Below are 22,716 nucleotides of genomic sequence, written 5' to 3'. Positions count from 1 at the left end.
CTCAGGTCTTTTGAAGAGATATGATACAGTTCACTACCACGTGGCATGTAGGATACCAGTGGAGAACGTATTTTAAAAAATTTTGATTTCTGCTTAAAATTAAGTGTTAATAGTCAATGTTTATACTGATTATATGTTGAAATAATAATTTGAAGAAAGTGGGTTAAATAAAATATATTATTAAAATTAATTTCACCTACTTCTGCTTTTTTCTTTACTGTGGCTACAGACAAAATTACATATGTGGCTCACATGATATTTCCATTGGCCAGAGCTGATCTAGAATGATGCAGATCATCCCCTCTCCAACTCTTGGTGTGTTTGATAATCTGAATTGTAACATATACAGAATGGCAATTATTTGAATAATTTCAGCACCAAATTACTCCTTTGTTAACCAATTCACTATATTGTTAATTTCACAGTAACTTTATATTGTGTACTCAGGTGGCTCCATAGGATACCTTGCTTCAGGGAACTGTCATAGAAAATGGTCATGAGAAGCTATCCTTCTGTGTTCATAAGATATCACTAACGTAACAAAACCATGATGATAGAGTCATAAAGATTAAAGATTATTCTACAATTTAAAAACTCCTTTCCGATATATTTAAGATATGTCCAGTTTCTCTTATACCTTGCTAGGCCCCTGTTTTAGTTCATTTCGGGTGCTATAACAAAATATCAAACACTGGGTCCCTTATAAACATACATTTATTTCTCATAGTTCTGGAGGCTGGGAAGTACCAGATCAAGGCACTGGCAGATTCTGTGAATGGTGAGGGCCTCATAGATGATGCCGTGTTGCTGTGTCTTCATATGGTATGGAAGGGGCAAGGCTGCTCTCTGGTACCTATTTTATAAGGGCACTAATCCCATTCATTAGAACTCTGCCCTTGTGATCTAATTGCCTCCCAAAGACCCCACCCCCTAATACCATTACTTTGGGGGTTAGGATGTCAACATATGAATTTGGGGGGAATATAAACATTCAGACCATAGCAGCCCCCTTAATAGGTCTTGCTTTGTCTAAGGCATTACTGGGTAAATTTCATAAAGCTTATGTATTTCCTCCTCGGCTTCTCACTCCCCACAAGTGTCCCAGGGTATTGCATTTTAATAAGTCAGGCCTGAATCCACTTCTGGACAGCATTCATTTTCTTTTGTTCTTCTTTTTTTTTTTTTTTTTTTTTAGTAGGAACAGAGTTTCACCATGTTAGCCTGGCTGGTCTTGAACGCCTGACCTCAGGTCAGGTGATCTCCCCGCCTCAGCCTCCAAAAGTGTTGGGATTACAGGAGTGAGCCACCACGCTCGGCCTCATTTTCTAATTTGGGATTACAGGGGCCTCATCGATATGATTCAGTGGAGTGTTGTCTGACCCTTCCAACCCTTTCCCATCACATTCACAGTTTTCTGGGCTAGGAAATGCAGTTATCCTATGCTGTTTTACAAAACTATAGCATTGGAATGGCTCTTCATTCTGATTTAATCTATTGAATATATATCGGGTTAGACTAAGTCACAAAGTATTTTTAGCTCTTTGGCTGAGGGAGGAAAATGAGAAGAAATAGCCCTGGGGCCTGGGTTATTGCTCCCTAGCTAGCTTCATTAAGATGTTCAGTGAACATCTGTTGGATGCTAAAGTCAACCTATTCAGCCCCTATCCTTTTCTCAAGGAGGTGGGAGGGAGTGTTTAACTGTTTTATTGTGGTATAAGTTATAATTGTTTAACTGTTTTATTGTGGTATAAGTCATAATTGACAATAAACTACACATATTGAGAGTGTACAATTTGTTGAATTTTGGCTGTTTTGAAGCTATCCCCCACAATCAAGATAGTGAACATATCCATCACCCCCGAAAGTTTCCTCATGCATCTTGGTAGTCCTTTCCTCTACCCACCCCTCCCATCTCCAAGTAAACTACTCATTTGCTTTATGTCACTGTAGATTAGTTTGCGTTCTCTAGAGCTTTAAATACATGGAATCATACAGTATGTTCTCTTTTGTCTGACTTCTTTCACTATGTGATTATTTTGGGATTCATCCATGTTGCCTGTATTCATAGTTCAGTACTGGTCATTGCTGAGTAGTAGTCATTGCATGGATATACCATTAAAGAGTTTTTAAGTCATTTAGAACTCTCCTGCACTTCCGTTGTCTTATGGTGCGTATTCATTCTTGGTTTTGTGAGGGAGGAAAAATTTTACTCTTTGAGGTTCTATAAGTGAGGCCTGTGAATTAAAACTAACAGAACACAGATTAACATTTAATTGATGTTTTTAATTTCATATTCATGGGGGCTACGCAGAAAAGAAGAGACCCAAAGAAGAGGATAGATTTGGGGTTTTTGCATCATTTTCATGATAAAAGTTGTTCTCACTGGTAAGGGAGAGATGATCATCTTTACAAACGGACATTTCTGTCACATTTACAAAGGGAATTTTGTGTTCTACTTTTACACAGAAAGGGCCAGGGGAGAGAGTGCTCCTGTCTTCCGTTTCCTATTTGCCTTCAGTTCAAAATAATACTGATGCCAAAGTAGCATATTTTGGAGTGGCATGTTCTGATCCCCTTTGGATTCAACTGTGTGAGTCCGACTTTTGTATTTGATGGTGTTTCTCAGTCTTCTTAAATTCATGCCCCATTTTGATAAACATAACATAGAAAATTTAAAGGCCCTTATTTAAATGTTGGAGCTACAAAATATGTAAGTCAATAGTTTAAAAAATACTACCGGTAATTGTAAAAAAGATTTAAAAATATTTAATTTTGAAAGATAGGAGATGATTAAGTAAAAAGTCAGGAGATTATTGAGGCTTTCCATAAACTTTTGTATCCTACCGTATGAAGAGTTTAAGCACAGCACAGTAGTTTCAGTATTGAACCCAATGCTTTATTTTGACTGCTTGCTAAATATTCCTCACCCACTTGCATGTTTTCTGTAATTCTTACCATGTTTGATAGATCTGTCACTCCTGTGACAAATGTATATGACAGTCATATAGTGAATTGGATAACAAAGGAGTAATTTGGTGCTGAAATTATTCAAATAATTGCCATTCTGTATATGTTACAATTCAGATCATCAAACACCCCAAGAGTTGGAGAGGGGAAGATCTGCATCATTCTAGATCAGCTCTGGCCAATGGAAATATCATGTGAGCCACATATGTAATTTTAAGTTGTCTGTAGCCACAGTGAAGAAAAAAGCAGAAGTAGGTGAAATTAATTTTAATAATATATTTTGTTTAACCCAGTTTCTTCAAATTATTCTTTCAAAATATAATCAGTGTAAACATTGTTGAGATATTTTACTTTCTTAAAAAAAAAAAAAAGCTCTCCAAAATATGCCATGTCTTTTACCCATGTCTTTTATCATATTGCCTTTAGAACTAGCCAAGGTGTAAGTGCCCAGTAGTGTGTTTCAGTGTGGCTCCTGGCTACTGTGTTGGTCAACACAGCTTTAGCTCATGCAGCTAAGCTATAAGGTCAGATGAAATCAAGAAATAAGATGTCTTCATTCTGTTATGAAAACCTGTTATGTTGGCTGGAACCACTCAGCCTTTTTTGGGTCATTTGTAATGTTTATATATTGTCTGTACCTTCTGATCACTTAATTGAAGTGACGAACAAAATAAATAAAACAACATTTAAAGCAGATGTCCTTTCTGGATTATTACGAAAGTAAAAGTTGGTTTGTGCTCTTAATATTAATGTTTAGTCTTTTGAGTGCCAGAGTAAAAAGCAGTTAATGGAGGCATTTAAATAGTAGATGAGTTAATTAAGAAGCAAATAGTCACGTTCATTGAAAGAATAAGCCCTTTTAAAATGCTTTCATGGAGAAAATATCACTTGTCAAGATAACCCCAATGAATCCTATAGAATTACATATGGTAACTAAATAGTGTAGCTTGTTACATTATCTGTGAATTAGTAATTAGGAGATCGAATTGCTGCATGCTTATTTATCTTATATGGCTAAGGTACGTGTTCAGATAGGTTCATAGTAATTTGGATTTCTTCATGCAATTTTCCCTTATCTGAACTACCTGGAATCTTGCCAGCAAGATGTAAATTGTCATTTCTTGCTGAATTTTCTTAGTGTATTCTCAGCAGTGTGGACTACCAATGACTGACAAGCTTATCAGCGGATTTAGACAGTAACATCTCTTTGCTGGCAGAGGACTACAGGGTTCTCTCTAGGAATTCTTTGGTACAGATTATGAAAAATACTTCTTTTATTGTGAACAGATTTTATTTTTTTCTTGTTTGTATGCATGTTCAATTAACAGAAGCACTAGAGGTACATTTGTTTTGGTTTAGTATGGAGCTGAATAAGAAAGGATCATGGCAAATTTTATTTTTTTAGATAATATGCTCCTCTCTATATGTACACTATTTCATCTTGGAGCTTGCAGGAATGTTATTGATTCCACTAGGATTTTTAATTTATCTCACAGCCATTACTTCTGGTGCTGGGGATATAGCCCTGAGAGAAAAAGGAAACAACAGCAACACAAAACTTCCTACCTTCATGAAATTAAAATTCAATTATTTCCTGTTTTCTAGAGGCATTTCAAACTCAGTATGTCCAAAAGGAATATAACCATATTTCTCTTTCCTCTAAAACCATATATTTATCTTTCTGCTGTTCTTTTGGCTAAATGATGTCCTGATAGTTCTAGTTTCCCAGATTAAAATCACTGGGAGAGTTGACCTCTGTTTGTCTCACTCATTCACCCCTCCTGGCCCTAACAGTTACCAACTGGTCACTGAGTCCTTTTGATTGCCTCTAATGAATGAGTCTGTATCTTTTCTTTTTTTTCTTGCCATTACCTTCATCTAGGCTCTCATCTTTTTCTATGAGGTTTTTTTAACAACCTAACATCTGGTTGTATTATCATTAGTTCTTTTCCCTCTTTGGTGGAATATTTACACTATTGCAAGAATTGTTTTATCAGAAAATAAATTTTCTCTATCCCTGTAATCCCTGTACCCTCCAAACTCCCTCCCCAATGTCCCTGCATGGTCCAGCATGCCTGCAGGGCAAAGCCCCAGTGAGGCCATGGAAACATTACCTTCCTAGCTCCTGTCATTCTGGACCCAAGTACTGCAGCCTCACTGTCATCAAATTATCTGGGTTCTTTATGGTTTTGTTGCCTTAGCAGATGTCCTTCCCTTAGTGAGAAATGCCTTTCCCTTTACTGCTCTCCTCCACACTCTCCTTATCGGCTCATACTTCGAGATGATTCATGTGTCATATCTCTTACAAATTCTTTCTGACTCACGTTGGCAGTATTGAATTCCTCTGTACTCGGAACTTTACCTATCACGTTGCCGTATAATTACTTACCGTTTTCCACTAAATTGGGAGCTCAGAAGTTAGATAGTTATCCTCATTCTTCTTTTGTCATATGCTTCAGTGACAGAGGTGGATAAAGACTTGGGGGCCTGAAGTATATGGAATTTGGGGTGGTTGTCTGAAAAATAATAGAAAATTATAAATACAAAATTAGATATAAAAAATTTATTTGAATAAGAATTGAAGGATCCTATGCAAGTACCTTCATGCTAAATCTTTCTATACACATGCTAAATCTTCCTATACACATGGCTAGGAATATGTAAGTGCTCACTTAATACTTGATGAATTGGTGTGGTTTTTTGGGATGTATTATAAGTACCATCTGTATATCTAGATCTCTCTCTCTCTATGTGTGTATATATATATATATATAATTTTCCTTTTGCTGTTCATTTTTTAAAATTGAAACATGATTAATTAGCCATTCTGATGCTAATACTGTTGCTAATAATAAATGTCTAATGCTTCCATGCTTCTTCCCATTTCCAAACACTTTTGAATACCTTATCTTACAGGATTTTGACAACTGAGTCACAAGGAAAGTGACTCAGACTTAATGACTCTGTGTTTTGCTACTTTGTGCGTGAAGGAAAAGGGAGCTGAAGTTCTTCCTTTGAGATCAGATTTCACTTTGGTGGGAGAAATGACAGTTCTTCCTGTGCGTCTGTAACCTCAGTCAGCACCACTTTGCTCTATATTCTGTTAGCCTGGTGAATGCTAAGGAATTTTCTGAGAGTTTTCCAAATCATCTCAGTGCCATTCCATCTTTCCATCCCTTCTCCCTTTCAGCTTCCTCAATTATTTCTTCTTCCTTTCCTCCCCTGTTACTTGTGTCTTGCCATACATCAAACACATTCTTCTCCATGTCTTTTCTCAGATAAATTGATACTTTTAAGTGTCATTACTTTGAATAAGCTGAATTTTGTAGTTTGCAATTTTCAAATTCATTTCTGCTTCTTGGAAGTACTATGGGGTGTGTCTTGGGATCCTGAGTAGTGTAAAAAGTACACATAATTTTCAGCAATGGAAAAGAAGATATCATAAAGCTCTGTACTTTACAGCATAGGTAAGACAGCTCTATTACTTAAAAGCTTCATGAAGGAGAAAACACTATCTTTCTGAACCTCAATTTTCTTGTCTGAAAATGAGGGTATAAAGTATGGAGCTCTTGGTAGGATTAAAGGAAATGCATATTTGTAAAGGACATAGGTTTTGTTTAAGAAAACAGGGATATTTGGAAGCTATTATAAACAAATGGTTTCATTTCAAACAGTAAAACTGACGCCAATTTCATTGCCTAAAAAATTTACTTATGTAGCCTATTTTATTTTCTGGGAAAGTCATTATTATAACATGCGATAGCAGTCAATTCTTAAATGCAATTTTATTATTAGTTGTTATTGAATAGCATTTTTAAGAACCCCAAATAATAGATTGTTGCTTTAAATTGTGTATTGCAACCAAGCCTACATTTTAGACATTCCAGTGATGAATATATATTTGGAAAGTTTTGCCTCTTGGAGTATTTGGTGGTGGGTATATTCCTGAGGAATAAAGTTGCCTTTTTACATCAGCGAAATGATATGGAAAGTTAGTTTGTTACTTAGCGACTCTAGTCAGGGTAGACATCCCTCTAATTAAGGCTTTTAAGCCTTTGTCCTTCTTAATTCCTTCCTCCTCCTTCTCTTTCTCTGCCCCCAAATCCTTGAGTAGCTGAATGAGATTACTTTTGCATGAAACTATTCAGATAGTTATTGACATTTCATTATATAGACTTTTCAGTACCCCACATAATAATGGCTGAAGAAATATGATTGCTTAATAAAAGGTCTGAGTTAGGGAGCCTTGGAAAAGTTATAGTATTTTCTTTGACTCTCTACTGAATCTATTAAATGTGGTCTTAACAAGTTATGTGTTTGGAAAGAGTAAAAGCTTACAAAATTTTCTTACATCTTCAAATAATTAAGATTGATAATTGAAAAAAAATTGTTGATTTCTTCTGTCTGCTGAATTTAAGGGTTCTGAATTGCTAAATACTCCACCAAAAGTATTGCAAAGAATGGGCCAAGAGAAGGAGAAAGAGAATGTGATTGTTCACAAGCCCTTCTCAGTACATGCATCTGTGGTACTTCTCCGTGCAGAGTTGGAACTAAACCAACAGGAGTCAAACCACTAGTCACCACAAGCACAGTACAGGAGAGAAAAACAACCACATTAAATATTATTCCAAAATGCTGTTTTCTTCCCAGAGGACTTCCGATGAGAAATTTGAGCCTGCTCTTTCCTGAGTGAAGTTTGTAAACTTTGTTCCTGTCCACATTCAGCAAAGGGAAATCATGAAAGCCACTGACTGAATTTAGGAGGCGCTGATGGTTGGGGAAGGATAAAAATATCTAATTATGTATAGTACTTATAGCTCAGTGATACCTAAGGAGTTTATGCAATATACAACACTCTTCATAATTTTTGTAGAAAAGATTCCAGGACGGGAGAAGCCATTTGAAATGGTAATAGAGAAATTGTGGAAGTAGAGTTATTTTAAGAGTTGGGAAAGTCCTAGAAAATGATCTTGGGAGAATATATAAACCTGAAGTTGGATGGGGAGGTATGTTGAAGCAGCATGATTGTAATACTATGGTCTTCTCTCCTACCTCCTAGTTCCACAGTTTTGTCTGTATTGGAAATATCGTCTCCATCCTTTAACACTTTCCCCTGAGGAGCCACTCAGTCACAACTGACAAGCCACCTATTGTTCTGCCCCAGTGTCATCGAGATCTCACAAAGTCAATGAAAATCCTGTCCCTGAGAGGGCAGCTGAGAAATGGCAGACATGTTTTGTACTATCACCTCCGACAGCAGTTGGTAGGTTCTAACAGAGACCAGCTGCCAACTATATTTCTGGGTCCCATGGGTATGCTTTTGAGTACCAAATGCTTTCTTTTCTTCTTTTCTTTTTGAGATGGAGTTTCGCTCTTGTTGCCTGGGCTGGAGTGCAATGGTGCAATCTCGGCTTACCGCAGCCTCTGCCTTCCAGGTTCAAGTGATTCTGCTGCCTCAGCCTCCCCAGTAGTTGGGATTACAGGCATGCGCCACCACACCTGGCTAATTTTGTATTGTTAGTAGAGACTGGATTTCTCCATATTGGTCAGGCTTTTCTTGAACTCCCGACCTCAGGTGATCTGACCGCCTCAGCGTCCCAAAGTGCTGGGATGACAGGTGAGAGCCCAAATGCACGGTCGACCTGCCCAGGACACAGTCGACCTGGGCTCATTGAATTGCCTCATTCCAGGCAGGCAAAAGAGCAGGAGGTAAGAGCCTGAAGTAATTTCCCTGGAGAATTTGTTGCCAGTGTAGGAACTGCACTGAAGAATTCTGTGGCACAAAGTTAAGTCTTCTGCATGTTTTAGATTTCCCCCAAGAAAATAATGTGGCTACAGTGAGTGCTTTATGGGCAGCCTCTGGAGTTTGGCATTGACACATTGTTGTGTTCACCTGCAAGGGCAGCTCTTGGAAGAATCCCCCTGCCTGGTTCTATGCAAGAAATATGCCTGGCATCTTGTGTCTTGGCCCTTAACACTGAAAATGTGGTACAAATAGGGGCAATCTGCCCAACAACCTGCATTCCTTTGGGTCTAACTAAGGAGTGAGAGAACAGAAGAGGCCAAATCTTAATTCTCAGAACTTAAATCTTTCCCCTCAGTCACCATGTTTGGTGTGAGTTAACAGTTTGAGGGGAGGGTCCCCTGTCCAATAGAGATACATTAAGGAACATTATGAATGAAAAGTATGTAAAATGGATGTTCAGAGAGAAGGTGTTAGAATCCATAGTTCCCTAATGTGTATTTTGGACTCTTTTTTTTTTTTTTTTTAAATTATGGGTGAGGGTTAATGGGGAAGGAAATAAATATAATGCAATGGGCTATAAACGATTGGTTTAAACATTTTTAGAAAAGGAAAGTCAGACCTTTCAGAGGGTCGGTTGAGTTAGTCCAGCAGTCCAGGGTTCTGATCCCAGACACACCACTGATTTGTTATGTAATCAAACCTCAGTGAGCTTTAGCTTCTCTCTGACCTATATGTTTTTTGACGCTCCTTTCAACTTTAAAATTAACTTTATAGTCGAGCGTAAGCAGTAAATAAGGGTATTTAACTCAAAGTATCATAAAATATATATAATTCTGGAAGTGGATATGAATCTGCTAATATTCTTTATAAAAGTTGTGTATCTATGTGTTTTAGGAAATCTGCAGGTAAAGTAAGAATGTATATACTGTTTGAAAGATCATTTTGCCTCAGACCAACCATCTTAAAAATAAAAATAACTTTCAAAAGCCAAAGCAAATGTAATGAACATGTTTTTTGGTATAAATACATTTGTTATATAAGAATACTTGTAAGTAATAAAATACTTCAATTTCCATATTATATATATTTTCATTTTCAGTAGGCTTCACTCCCTCCATTAGAAAATTAATAGGAAAAGGTATGATACTATACTATTTTCACCAAACTTTCTTAAAGTATGTGGATTCTTGGTCAATGTAGTGATTTTGATCTGTGTATGTTTATATAATTGTGGATTAACATGCCTCTTTTCCATAATTTAGTATTAGCTTATATATATTGTGTGACTAACTGTTCATTTTATTGTCATTTGAATATTCATAGAAGATATATAAGTTTTATTTAAACTGAAACAGGTTTATATTTATACTGTCTTGGGATCCCCCATAATTCACAAAGGTGGGGTTTTTGAACGTATGTTCAAAGTAAAACAGCAATAGTTGTTCATCACTTCCTGCCCTCCTGCTCTCTGATGAGAAGTTGACTAATCCAGGGCCATAAGTATCTGCTTCTAAGGCCTGTATCTCAAACAGCTTGGTAAAATTAGAAGCAGAGTAGCATCAGAAAATGAGAATAAAGCTTCGTTTTTAATAGTAAAACTGAAAATGATTCTTTATGAGATATATTTTGAAGAAATGTTTTCATAATATTTCCTTTAGTTTTGCTGGAATTAGGTAGTCTAGCTGAATAAATTATTGTTCTGGGAGAATTTACCAATGTTAACATTATTTTTTCCCGAATAAGTTAGTATTATAGTTTTAGGCGAAATCTTTTTTTTTTTTTTTTTGCCAAACAAGGACAAGGAGGATTTGAAAAATATTGCACTAATCATCTCTAGTCCTAGCCTCTAAAACTAGATATTGTTAACATTTTCACATATCGGCTGCCTTATTTTTGTAATAGTTATTATGAAAAATTTCAAATGTACATAAATGCAGTGAATCCTCATATATCCATCATTCTGTTTTAACAACTACTAGTTCATGGTCAGTCTTGTTTCTTCTCTTGTCTCAGACATTTCCCTTGTCCCTTTCCTGGAAGTTTTTGAAGCAAATTGTGGACATTATATCATTTTATGCATAAATATTTCAACCCAGCTGCTTTTTACATGCATAATTTAAAACCATTATAAAAATACAGTTTCCTTACACAAAAAAAAGAGAAAGCTAAATTCCCCCATTGAGTCCCCCCGTATGCGGCTACTCCTTCCATTTGTCCACTCCTAACTGCTGTCATTTTAGAATGTGTCCTTTTAATCCATTGTTGAATACGATGAAAGTATGTATATACATATTTTTATGTGGCCCATATACTATTTTTTATATTTAAAAAATATAAATAAACTACTTATTCTGTAAATCTCCATTTCATTATTGAGATTTGGACTCTGAGTCTGTTCTTTAAAAAATGAGTCTAACCCACTTGTGTTTATTGTGAATATGGATATCTGAATTTATTTTGTTGCCCTTGTTTTGTGTTTTTTGTTTACTATGGCTTCTCCTTTTTCCTTTTTTTCTCATTCCTAACCTCTTTTAGATTGCTAGAGTATTTTTTGTTCATCTTTTTTTCATCTTGGTGTATATATTATATAGACTCTATTTCTGTTTTTTTAGTGGTACATTAAAGTTTTAACGTGTATACTTGGCTGAATTTTTCTAGTAGAGTTTGAAGAAAGAACATTTCTATCCTCCTATGAAGAGAACTCTTTTTAATTTTTATTATTATTTTTTTGAGACAGGGTCTTTCTCTGTCGGCCCAGACTGAAGTGCAGTGGTGCGATTACATGTCACTGCAGCCTCTACCACCTGAGCTCGGGTGATCCTCCCACTTCAGCCTCCTGAATAGCAGGGACTACAGGTGTGTACCACCACTCCTGGCTAATTTTTTTTTTATTTTTTGTTATGTTGCCCAGGGTGGTCTCAAACTACTGGGCTCAAGCGATCCACCAGTCTTGCCCTCCCAAAGTGCTGGGATTACAGGCATCAGCCACTGTGGCTGGCCTGAATGCAGATTTTTGGTCAGAAATATTTTTACTATTTATAAATATTGTTCACAGTTACTAAGATTTCATTTATATAATGAAAATTTGTCAGAGCTCACATTCCTTTTTTTTTTAATTTTTAATTTTCATTTTCTAGGAACAGGGTCTTGTTCTGTTGCCCAGGCTGGAGTTCAGTGGCGTGATGATAGCTCACTATAGCCTCAATCTCCTGGGCTCAGATAATCTTCTCACCTTAGCCTCCCAAGTAGCTGGGACTACATGCATGTGCCTCTACGCCTGGCTAATTTTAACAATTTTTTTTTTTTTTTTTTTGTAGAGACAGGTCTCACTTTGTTGGCCAGGCTGGTTTTGAGCTCCTGGCTAAAAGTGATCCTCTCACCTTGGCTTCTCAAAATGCTGGGCTTACAGGTATGAGCCACCATACTCTGTCAGTTACCTTTGTTTTAACAGTGGATTTATGTTTTATTTGGTGGCAGCTTATGGCTTTTCTCAGGCTCTGAGCAAAACAGAACTTTATAGTGTTATATTCACCCATCAAGTGTAGGAGCTTCCCTGCCCTTTGTTTTTCTGATGTAACTATCTCTCCTGTAGGATTATTAATTATTTAGTGGTCCTACTAAAATTGTCTTTGCTCCCTCAAATGTTTATTAGAAGTACAGTGTACAAATGAAATAAAGGAACAAGGGTATTTCGTAAGCAAGGGTATTTGAGAGGGTTTTTTTTTTGGATGTAATGATATGGTACCATACCAAAGCAGACTGTGTTTGAACAAATAGGTGTGTTTAAATGGAGCAAACAGAGCTTCATACAACATACCTCTGGCAAAATGGAGTTCATTGTAAAAATGGAGATCAGTGATTGTGCATCTGTAGGGACCAGTTACTCTATTTTCCTCTTATTGGCTGTGTTGCATCTCCCAAGGAATGCCTGCCTCTCTTAATGTCGGCTGTATTCTGTCTCTATCAACTGACTTGTTTTTGCTGTCTCATAACTCTGGCTTGTGTGTACCCCATTTTAGCTTCTTCATCCCTTACTCAGCCACCTTCTATCTTCTCAACTCTTGTTCTACCATTAATTGACTTATTCTCTCAATATTTCTTAAGTTCTTAAGAGACACTGTAGTCCATTCATGTTTTTCATGTCAGCACTTAGATTGGCTTCCCTTGAATTAGGGAGCCCAGCCCTGGTTCCCTTGGTTATGGTTGGAAGAAAGGGGCGAAGCATAGTACATGATAGCATAGTCCTTGGAGGAGGGCCTGCGGAATGGTTGAATTCTGTATTTGTCAGCTTGGGCTGCCATAACAAATTGTTTAGAAAGGTGTAAACCATAGAAATTTATTTTCATGGTATTGGAGGTTGAAAGGTCTAAGATCAAGGTCTGGTAGGGTTCTGCTTCTGATGAGGGTTTTGTCTGTGGCTCGCAGGTGGCTACCTTCTTGTGTGCTCATGTGGCCTTTCCTCAGTGCTTGCACATAGACAGTGAGACAGATTTTCCTCTCTTCCTCTTTCTAGAAGACCACCAATTCTATTGGATCAGAACCCCACCCTTATATCCTCATTTAACGTTAACTGTTTCCTAAAAGACCTGTTTCCAAAATCAGTCACACTGGAGTTAGGGCTTCAACATAGGAATTTTGGGCAACACAGTTCATTCCATAGCAACATCGTAAGGTACTATACTCAGCTATTCAAACTCTATTAGGGCAGACATTTCTAGAATAGTCACAACACTGACATGTTCCTTGTAGTATTACCATCCATCAGTAACCAAAGCCCGGAAAGGTGGGATTTATCCTAAACCCATCTTCCTTACCTCCATATTACCATGTCACAGTACTTACATCTCTTAACTAATCTTAATCTAGCTCCCATTTTCCTTTATTTTCCTTTTCTTCTCTAGTTTTGAAAATGCCTCTTACCTGGCTTCTTTATCCATAGCTTCTCTTGATTTTTGTATGTCCTCCATACCATTGCCAGAGTGATCTTTCTAAAGATCACTTTGCCAAAATAAACTTCTAATTAAATCTAAACTCTTTAATGGCTGGGTGCAGTGGCCACACCTATAATCCCAGCTCTTTGGGAGGCCTAGGTGGGTGGATCACTTGAGGTCAGGAGTTCAAGACCAGCCTGACCAACATGGCAAAACTGTGTCTCTACTAAAATTACAAAAAAAAAAAAATTAGCCGGGCGTGGTGGCAGGTGCCTGTAATCTCAGCTACTCAGGAGGCTGAGGCACGAGAATAGCTTGAACCTGGGAGGCGGAGGTTGCAGTGAGCCGAGATTGTGCCACTGTACTCCAGCCTGAGTGACAAAGTGAGACTCCATCTCAAACAAAACAAAAAACAAATCTAAACTTTTTAAGAGTAGTATGGAGGACCCTCAGTAATTCAGCCTTTACTCACATCTCCAGGCTCATCTTCTCCGTCTCTCCTTTTTCCTCAGCCCCAATCCAGGTTACTATATAAGAAACTACATGCAGTGCTCAGAAGGTACCATGCACTCTTGCATTTATGTGGGGAGCTCTTTCATCAGACCTTCTCCCCCACCTATTCTTTAAGACTCTGTGCAGGGGTCTGTGACTCCAGGAAGTTTCCCTGACTTCTCAGTTAAGCTTGGGTGACCCTCCTTTGTGTTCTTGTATTTTAATTGTTCATTTCTTTTCCTTTCATTCACTTGTACGTGAGTTCCCAGGTTGTATCATCATTTCTCCAATGCTGCTACTAGACAACATGCTAGTCATGTAAGTGCCCCATGTGTATTTGCAGAATCAGTGAATGACAGAATTTGAGTCCTTTTCTACTCCCTTGACCTTCCCTGCATTTTCTTTTCTTTTCTTTTTGTTTTCCGAGACAGACTCTTGCTCTGTTGCCCAGGCTGGAGTGTGGTGGCTCGATCTCAGGCTACTGGGGAGACTGAGGCAGGAGAATCGCTTGAACCCAGGAGGCGGAGGCTATATTAGGAAGCCTAATGTATCCAGCGGAGGCTGGATTAGGCAGCTCTCTCATTATATTAAAGTTTCACAGGAAGCGTGAAAGCTAAAATGATTTTGTATGTTGTTATTTCTAAGCTAGCATGTACATAGTAGGATTGTTAGATAAAATAACAGATGTCCAAATTAAGTTTGAATTTCAGATAAAATTGGATTGAGCTGTATTGAGCCTCTGCCTCCTGGGTTCAAGCGATTCTCCTGCCTCGGTCTCCCCAGTAGCTGGGACTACAGCATTTCCATTTCAGGTAATTTATCTGGCAGTTTCATAAAGAAAGAACAAGAATATTAATCAGTATTTGAAGTATGTTGTGAAGTTAATGTTCTTTAATACTTGATTTTCTTTCATTTTGGTGGGCAAAATTGAATTAATCTTATTTTCATTGAATAAATTTAGGAAGATTTATAAATGTCTACTTGAAAATAAAAATTGTATTCATGAATGCTTTTTTGATCAAAGCCTATAAAAATGAGGGAGAAGTTCAGAAGAACAGATGCTAAGAAAAGACTGAGTGATTTCTGTTGGATGACTACATGATTTGGTGGGTACTGTGACATTTCTATACTTTTAGAGCTGTAGTTCAGTAATGTTACCCAAAAGTAGGAATTATGACTGAAAGTATAAATATTGCTGTTATGGACAATTGGATTTATGAAAAACTACTTGCAATTGACTACAACTGTGCCTTCGTCTGCTTACTTCAGGTACTGCTGAGGCAACTATGAATGATAGAAATGGTAAATTTAAATGCAAAAACAGATGCTGAGCAACTCTGACAAGCTGCAAGCCATTGAAACAAGCCCTTTTAATGTCGTATTCCTTTTTCAGTCAGAATTGTTTAAGATAAGTAGAAAATTGTATGCATTTGGGCAGTTTCTCTTCATAGAGTTATTTTTAGCCTAAAACATATTTTCACTTGTTAGTTGCCATATAATCTGCATTGAGCAGAATGGTTTGTGTTATGTTTCAAACGCTGATTCTCTACTTCGTAAAAGCTGTGCCTACATGTTACCATTACAACTTGTTGAAATGTAAAATGATTACTCAGTTAATCAGTTCCTATTTCTAAATAATACCAAATATTCTGTTTTATTTTTATCCCCTTCTGACACTAGTGTTACCAACAAGTTGTTGGAGAATCATATGGTCACAGGTAAAATCTTTGAGATTTATTAAGGATTAGGCAGCTGTCTCATTATATTAAAGTTTTACAGGAAGCGTGAAAGCTAAAATGATTTTATATGTTGTTATTTCTAAGCTAGCATGTACATAGTAGGATTGTTAGATAAAATAACAGATGTCCAAGTTAAGTTTGAATTTCAGATAAAATTGGATTTTAGTATAAATATGTCCCAAGTGTGGCATGGGACATACACTAAAAAATTATTCATTTACCTGAAATTCAAATTTAACTAGCATCCTGTATTTTTAGTTGATAAATCTGGCAACCCTCTATTAAGGTATAAAATTTGATAAACACAAAAGTAATGCAGTGCAAAGTAAGATTATCTCAGTGTCCTTCAGCCCTGCCATATCCCACTATCATTGTCTTTGAAAAAGTTGCAGAATAGTCTATGCTTCTATAAACATACACCAATCGATTTTTACTTACCTAAGCAATTACCCTCCTCTTCTTCTGTACAAAGTGTAGCAACTTAATACCTTGTTCTGTATCTTCTTTTTTATAAATTTGACAATATATTTTCACCGTGTGATTTTTGTGAGACAGTTTGGAAAATATGGGTAGTGTGATAGAGTTTGGGCTTTAAAATAAGGGACAGTAGGGTTCAATTCCAAGTTCTCCCATTTACTAGCTGTTTGACCTTGAGTAAGACCTTGACCTGTCCTTTTCTCTGTTGTGTTATCTGGAATAATGTGTCAGGCACGGGAGGCTATTGTGGGGAGCAAGATGGTCAGAGTCCCCACATGCATGATGGAACGTGTATAAACTGCACTTGCCTAGCACTCTGGTGCCTAACAGATATTGAATTCATTGAGCTGTTATTGGTATGTCTTATGGTTCTGAGAGCTAAGCCTATTGGAACAGATTTTAGGTTCAGTTATAACCAAATAGTGATATGGCCACTAGCAGGATACATGAACAGCAGCTAGAGGGAAACTGGTATTTTTTCTGTACCAGATTTGAATACAGTTGTCCCACGCCTTGGAACATGGGGGATACATTCCAAGACCCCCAGTAGATGCCTGAAACCAAACATAGGACCTTACCCCATATATACAGGTCTATGTTGTTTTATTGAATTTTGTCTTATTGTGCTTTGCAGATATTGCATGTTTTTTAAATAAATTGATGGTTTATGGCAACTCTGTGTCAAGCAAGTCTATTGGTGCCATTTTTTTCCAACAGCACATGCTTACTTTGTGTCTGTGTGTCACGTTTTGTTAATTCTTATAATATTTCATGCCCTTTATTATTATTATGTCTGTTACAGTGATCTGTGATCAGTAATCTTTGATGTTACCATTTTAATTATTTTGGGGTGCTACAGCCCTGCACATTTAAGATGGTGAACCTAATAAATGTTGCACATGTTCCAACTGCTCCATCAACGGGCCGTTCGCATTCTTTTTCCCTCTTCTGAGGCCTCTCTATTCCCTGACACAGAACAGTATTGAAATTAGGCTATTTAATAACCCTGCAATAGCCTCTAAGTGTTTAAGTGAAAGGAAGAGTTGCATGCCTCTCACTTTAAACCAAAAGCTAGAAATAATTAAGTTTAGTGAAGAAGGCATGTTGAAAGTAGAGATAGGCTGAAAGCTAAGTGTGTTGTGCCAAACAGCCAAGTTGTGAATGCAAAGGAAAAGGTCTTGAAGGATTAAAATAGCTTCTCCAGTGACTGCATGTAAAGCAAAACAGCCTTATTGTTGATATGGAGAAAGTTTTAGTGGTCTGGATAGAAGATCAAATCAGCCACAACATTCCCTTACGCCAAAGCCTAATACAGAGCAAAACCCTAACTCTCTTCAATTCTGTGAAGGCTGAGAGAGGTGACGGAGCTGCAGAAAAAATGTTGGAAGCTAGCAGAGGTTGGTTCATGAGGTTTAATGAAAGAAGCCATCTGTATGACATAAAAGTGCAAGGTGAAGCAGCAAGTGCTCATGTAGAGCCTTCAGAAAGCTATCCAGAAGATCTAGCTAAGATCATTAATGAAGGTGGCTGCACTAAACAACAGATTTTTAATGTAGATAAAACAGCATTATATTGAAAGAAGAGGCTATCAGGGACTTAAGTAGTTAGGAGAAGTCAATGTCTGGCTTCAAAGCTTTAAAGAGGCTCTCTCATTAAGAGCTAATGCAGATGGTGATGTCAAATTGAAGCCAGTGCTTATTTACCATTTCAAAAATTTTTAGGGCCCTTAAGGGTTATTCTAAATCTGCTATGCCTGCGTTCTCTGTAAATGGAAAAAGAAAGACTGGATAACAGCACATCGGTTTATAGCATGGTTTACTGAATGTTTTAAGCCCGCTGTTGAGACCTACTGCTCAGAAAAAGGTTCTTATAAAATATATTACTGCTCATTGACAAGGCATCTGGTTATCCAAGAGCTCTGATAGAGTTTCATCAAGAGAGATGAATGTTGTTTTCATGTCGCTAACACAACATCCATTCTGCAGCCCCTGGACCACAGAGTAATTTTGACTTTCAAGTCTTATTATTGAAAAAGTACATTTTGTAAAGTTATAGCTTCTGTACTTAATGATTCCTCTGCTACATTAGGGCAAAGTAAATGGAAAACCTTTTGGAAAGGATTCACTACTTTAAATGCCATTAAGATATTTGTAATTCATGGGAGGAAGGCAAAATATCAACATTACCAGGACTTTGGAAGAAGTTGATTCTGAAACTCTTATGAATAACACTGAGGGTTCAAGACTTCAGTGGAAGAAGTCACTGAAGATGCGTTACAAATAGCAAGAGAACTAGAATTTCAAATGGAGTCTGAAGATGTGACTGAATTGCTGCACTTTCATGATAAAGTTTGAATGAATGAGGAGTTGCTTTTTATGGATGAGTAAAGAAAGTGGTTTCTTGAGATGAAATGTATGCCTGGTGAAGATGTGAACATCGTTGAAATGAAAACAAAGGGTTGAGGCTATTACATAACCTTAGTTGATAAAGTAGGAGCAGGATTTGAGAGGTTCTATTGTGGGTAAAATGCTGTCAAACAGCATCACATGCTTCAGAGAAATCTTTCATGAAAGGAAGAATCAATCAATGTGGCAAAGCTCATTGTTGTCTTATTTTCAGAAATTGTTACAGTGACCACAGCCTTCAGCAACCACCACCCGTCAGTCAGCAGCCATCAACACAAAGGCAAGACCCTCCACCAGCTCAAAGACTGTGACTCACCAAAGGCTCAGATGATCACTAGCATTTTTTGACAGTAAACTTTTTTAATAAAGGTGTATAGATTGTTTTCCTAGACATAATGCTACTGCACATTTAATAGACTACAGTGTAGTGTAAACATGACTTTTGTACGCACTGAGAAATGAAAAAATTCATGTGACCCCTTTTGTTGAGAGATTCACTTTATTGCAGTGGTCTGGAACTGATCCTGCAATATCTCAGATATGCTTGTACCATGTTTTTTTTCCATTTTTTATTTTTATAAATACATACCTATGATAAAGTTTAATTTACAAATTAAGCTCAATAAGAGATTAACAACAACTAATAATAAAATTGAACAATTACAACAATATACTGTGTATTCTTAATTCTCTTTGTGTTGAGGGATTTAGTACCTTGAAATGTAAAAGCAATGTTTTTGAATGTACTTTGAATAACTATTTAAAGAGGCTTCTTAAGGGTTTTTATTAAAATCTTGGATTTTAAAAGTGATTTGTTTAAAGATGTATGGACATTAACATTACATAAATGGCGAATATTCCTGATCTTTCTTTGATAGACCGACCGGTGGTTTCTAATATACATAATTCTGACTTCTTCATACCTTGTCTGAACAGTTGGCTAATTTGACTATCTACAACAGTCTATTCCATTTCAGACTTTATTCATTTTGGGTCTCTATTTCTTCCTTTGGTTTCACTTTATGTAGAGCATGGTCTATTTGAACTTGGAAACAGGGAAGTTAAATCTTGCTTTCTAGAGGCAGCATATTGTAGAAATTAAATTGTGGACTCTGGAGCTAGATGGCTTGTGTTAAGAACCTGGCTCCATCACTTACTAGCGATGTGGCCTTAGACAAGTTACTTAATCTGTCTGTACCTCATTTTCCTTGTTATAAAGTGAGTGGATTGTGTAAGTATTAAAGGACTTAATTGGAAGCATGATTTGAATAGTACCTAGCATGTGATAGGTGCTGTGTGTTTGCTGTTATCATTGCTGCTTCTGCTTCAGCATTAGTGCTGAACTCCTTCTTACCATATCCATAGCTCATCTCTTTTCTGCCTCTCTGATTCATTATTGTCACTGCTTAGCATGAATTGCCCAGAAAAAAAGAAAGAAAATTCCTCAGAACTTGCCATTCTTCTGACATGTTGGATCTTCTTTAAGTCATGCCAGTTGGCCATGACCCACTGTTATCACTCAGGTATCCTTAAGTTTCCATATGGTGTTTAGATGGGCAAAAAGGGAAAGGAAATGGTAGTGTGGTGAAAAGGTGACAAGAGGAATTCGTGGCTGCAATTTGAAGGGAATGGACTCTATCTAAAAAATTTTGTGATTACAGATGAGTTTGTTTATAATTAGAACTGAATCCTCAGTACAGGAGTATCAGGCACAGAAAGGAACAATTTTTAAAAATTCTTATTTTTTTGTCATGGTTGCTAATGGTGAAATCCCCTGAAAAATCTCAAAAAAAGCTATGCATTTATTTTAGGGACATCCAAGCATAGAAAAGAAACTCTGAAACTGTAATTTTAAAGTCATTGAAATACAAAAGAGTAGAGCTCTCTCATCTGGGGGCTTTTTTTTTTTTTAACCTTTGTGTATTTTTTGGGGGAAGAAAAAGTAATTCTGTTTTAACATAACTGACTTGTAGGTGAACTTCTGGACAACAGTGTTTTTCTCAATTAGGAACTGCCTACGCTGTACTTTCTCTGCAGACTTCTCATAAATCAGTGAGCTTCTAAATCCGAGGTCTACCTCCCATGTATGTCAGGAACACTGTCTATCTTTAGAATTTTTTTCATGTGCATACCAAACACATGTATAATTTTATCCTTTCAAAACGTTATAAACATCATTCATTTATAAATAGAGATTCAGATTCAGAAAAGATAAGTGACTTAACAAGGGCGTATAGCTAGTTGAAATTTAAATTCAGGTTATCAGACTCTCTAGTCCATGCTTTTTTTTATTGCTATCATGCTTCCTCCTGGGTGATTAAACATACTTTTGTAGCCCTGGGCTTCCTTATATTGGGGCATCTTTATTCAGGCAATTCTCCTGCCTCAGCCTCTTGGAGCAGCTGGGACGACAGGCACATGCACCACGCCCAGCTAATTTTTGTATTTTTGATAGAGATGGGGTATCACCATGTTGGCCAGGCTGGTCTCGAACTCCTGAGCTCAAGTTATTTGCTGGGATTACAGGCATGAGCCACCATGCCCAGCCCGATTTTTTTTTTTTTTTTTGCGGGGGACAGAGTCTCACTCTGTTGCCAGGCTGGAATGCTGTGGCGCGATCTTGGCTCACTGCAACCTCCGCCTCCCTGGTTCAAGTGATTCTCCTGTCTCAGACTCCTGAGTAGCTGGGATTATAGGCTGGTTCCACCACACCCAGCTAATTTTTGTATTTTTAGTAGAGACAGGGTTTCACCATGTTGGCCAGGATGGTCTGGATCTCCTGACCTCGTGATCCGCCCACCTCGGCCTCCCAAAGTGCTGGGATTACAGGCATGAGCCACCGCGCCCGGCCTATTTATGTGTTTTAATTGCCAGAAGTTAATTGTTTTTGAGGGGGGTTGGCTAATAGTAGGCTGTTTTGTGAAGGAGTATCATATTCTCCTTGTAAATAAGAGTAAATAAATCACCAATTTATTTGTTAATATTTCCCTATATTAGGCCTCATGAAATAATGCAATGCTCGGCATTGGAATGCCTATCTATATGGAATATACTGACTGGACATTAATCCTGAATAAATATATCATAGTTACAAGTTATGCTATGAGCTGGAAATTGGCATACTTTATCTCATTTTTCAAAATATACCCAATGAGTAAGTGTGTTTTAAAAGAAACTGAGGTTGAGATGATAGGTCCCTTGCTCAAGGCCACACTTCTGTTTAAGTTTCAATTCCAGGTCAGAGCCAGTGTCCTCTTTTCTTGACACAAAGGCACTTTTTAAAACAAGTGCCAGTAGTTAAACAATTTAACATTTGAAATGGAGTTGATGTTTCAAATAGTATATTCTACATTGGGATAAGGCAAATCAATACGTACTGTTCTCTCTTATCACACAGAGCTAATTGCAGACATTGATGCTCTGTAGATCTGCTCATCTACATCACATACTTCCCTTTTTGCCAAATGAATTTTGTCTTAAAGAGGTAACAGGAGGCGACTTGTTCTTTCTAAGAGAAATTCCATTTTGCTTCCAGATGAAAAATGAGAACGTGTGGTGGTAGATTTCTTTTCTCTATTGAAGGAATGACTGACTGACTGTCTTCCTCATGATTCAGGGTTTTCTGTGAGGCAAAAGAGAGATGGAACTATGGGGATAGCTGTGCAGATTTGTTCGGCAGCAAAGGCTCAAGATGGGTTAGTGACGTGGATGTTAGCAATGCAGATCTGTATCCAGTATTTCAAAGAATCTAGTTAAGTATTGTTAGAGAAAGATGAGATGTGTGGATTGAAGGAGTTGAGAAGATTTCTTTGAATGGGAAAGAGGAGAACATTATAGTCAGGAGAGTATTTTGAGAACTTTTGAAAAATTTAACACTGTATACTCCCTTTTGTTCAGTTTTTCATCCGTGATTTAAAGTATTATCTTCCAGTGGTTCAGGTACTGCTTGAGTGTCACAT

The 22,716-nt window shown here is 37.3% G+C and overlaps 1 protein-coding gene across 57 annotated transcripts in view, besides 2 other annotated features; it reads left to right on the top strand.

The window, feature by feature from the left end:
* The window catches only part of MPDZ (multiple PDZ domain crumbs cell polarity complex component), a 173,986-nt gene that overhangs the window by 5,799 nt on the left and 145,471 nt on the right, over positions 1-22,716 (top strand). For 4 of the 57 annotated variants that reach the window (XM_047424016.1, XM_047424046.1, XM_047424022.1 and 1 more), the window contains 3 exons: positions 8,027-8,230; positions 8,328-8,676; positions 15,161-15,242. The exons of 41 other annotated variants lie outside the window; for them this stretch is intronic. The gene's annotated coding sequence lies outside the window, so the exon portion shown is untranslated. Of the gene's footprint in view, positions 1-8,026; positions 8,231-8,327; positions 8,677-14,846; positions 14,949-15,160; positions 15,243-18,971; positions 19,127-19,396; positions 20,281-22,716 lie in introns of those variants that run through there. 12 more of the 57 variants (XM_047424044.1, XM_047424042.1, XM_047424045.1 and 9 more) reach the window with 7 other exon arrangements.
* Positions 7,390-7,684: a silencer, noted in NCBI's record as "tiled region #14432; HepG2 Repressive non-DNase unmatched - State 24:Quies". NCBI's record gives its function as "represses a minimal TATA promoter and a strong SV40 promoter by Sharpr-MPRA in HepG2 cells {active_cell/tissue: HepG2}" and the evidence as "EXISTENCE:reporter gene assay evidence [ECO:0000049][PMID:27701403]".
* Positions 21,834-22,446: an enhancer, noted in NCBI's record as "OCT4-NANOG hESC enhancer chr9:13251447-13252059 (GRCh37/hg19 assembly coordinates)". NCBI's record gives its function as "activates a minimal SCP1, AML or CMV promoter by ChIP-STARR-seq in primed H9 embryonic stem cells {active_cell/tissue: H9 hESC(primed)}" and the evidence as "EXISTENCE:reporter gene assay evidence [ECO:0000049][PMID:30033119]".

The sequence above is a fragment of the Homo sapiens genome, chromosome 9 (genome assembly GCF_000001405.40).
Source record: "Homo sapiens chromosome 9, GRCh38.p14 Primary Assembly".
Lineage (NCBI taxonomy): Eukaryota > Metazoa > Chordata > Mammalia > Primates > Hominidae > Homo > Homo sapiens.
The sequence above is the reverse complement of the archived record's forward strand: the minus strand, read 5'-3'. Positions and strand labels throughout refer to the sequence as shown.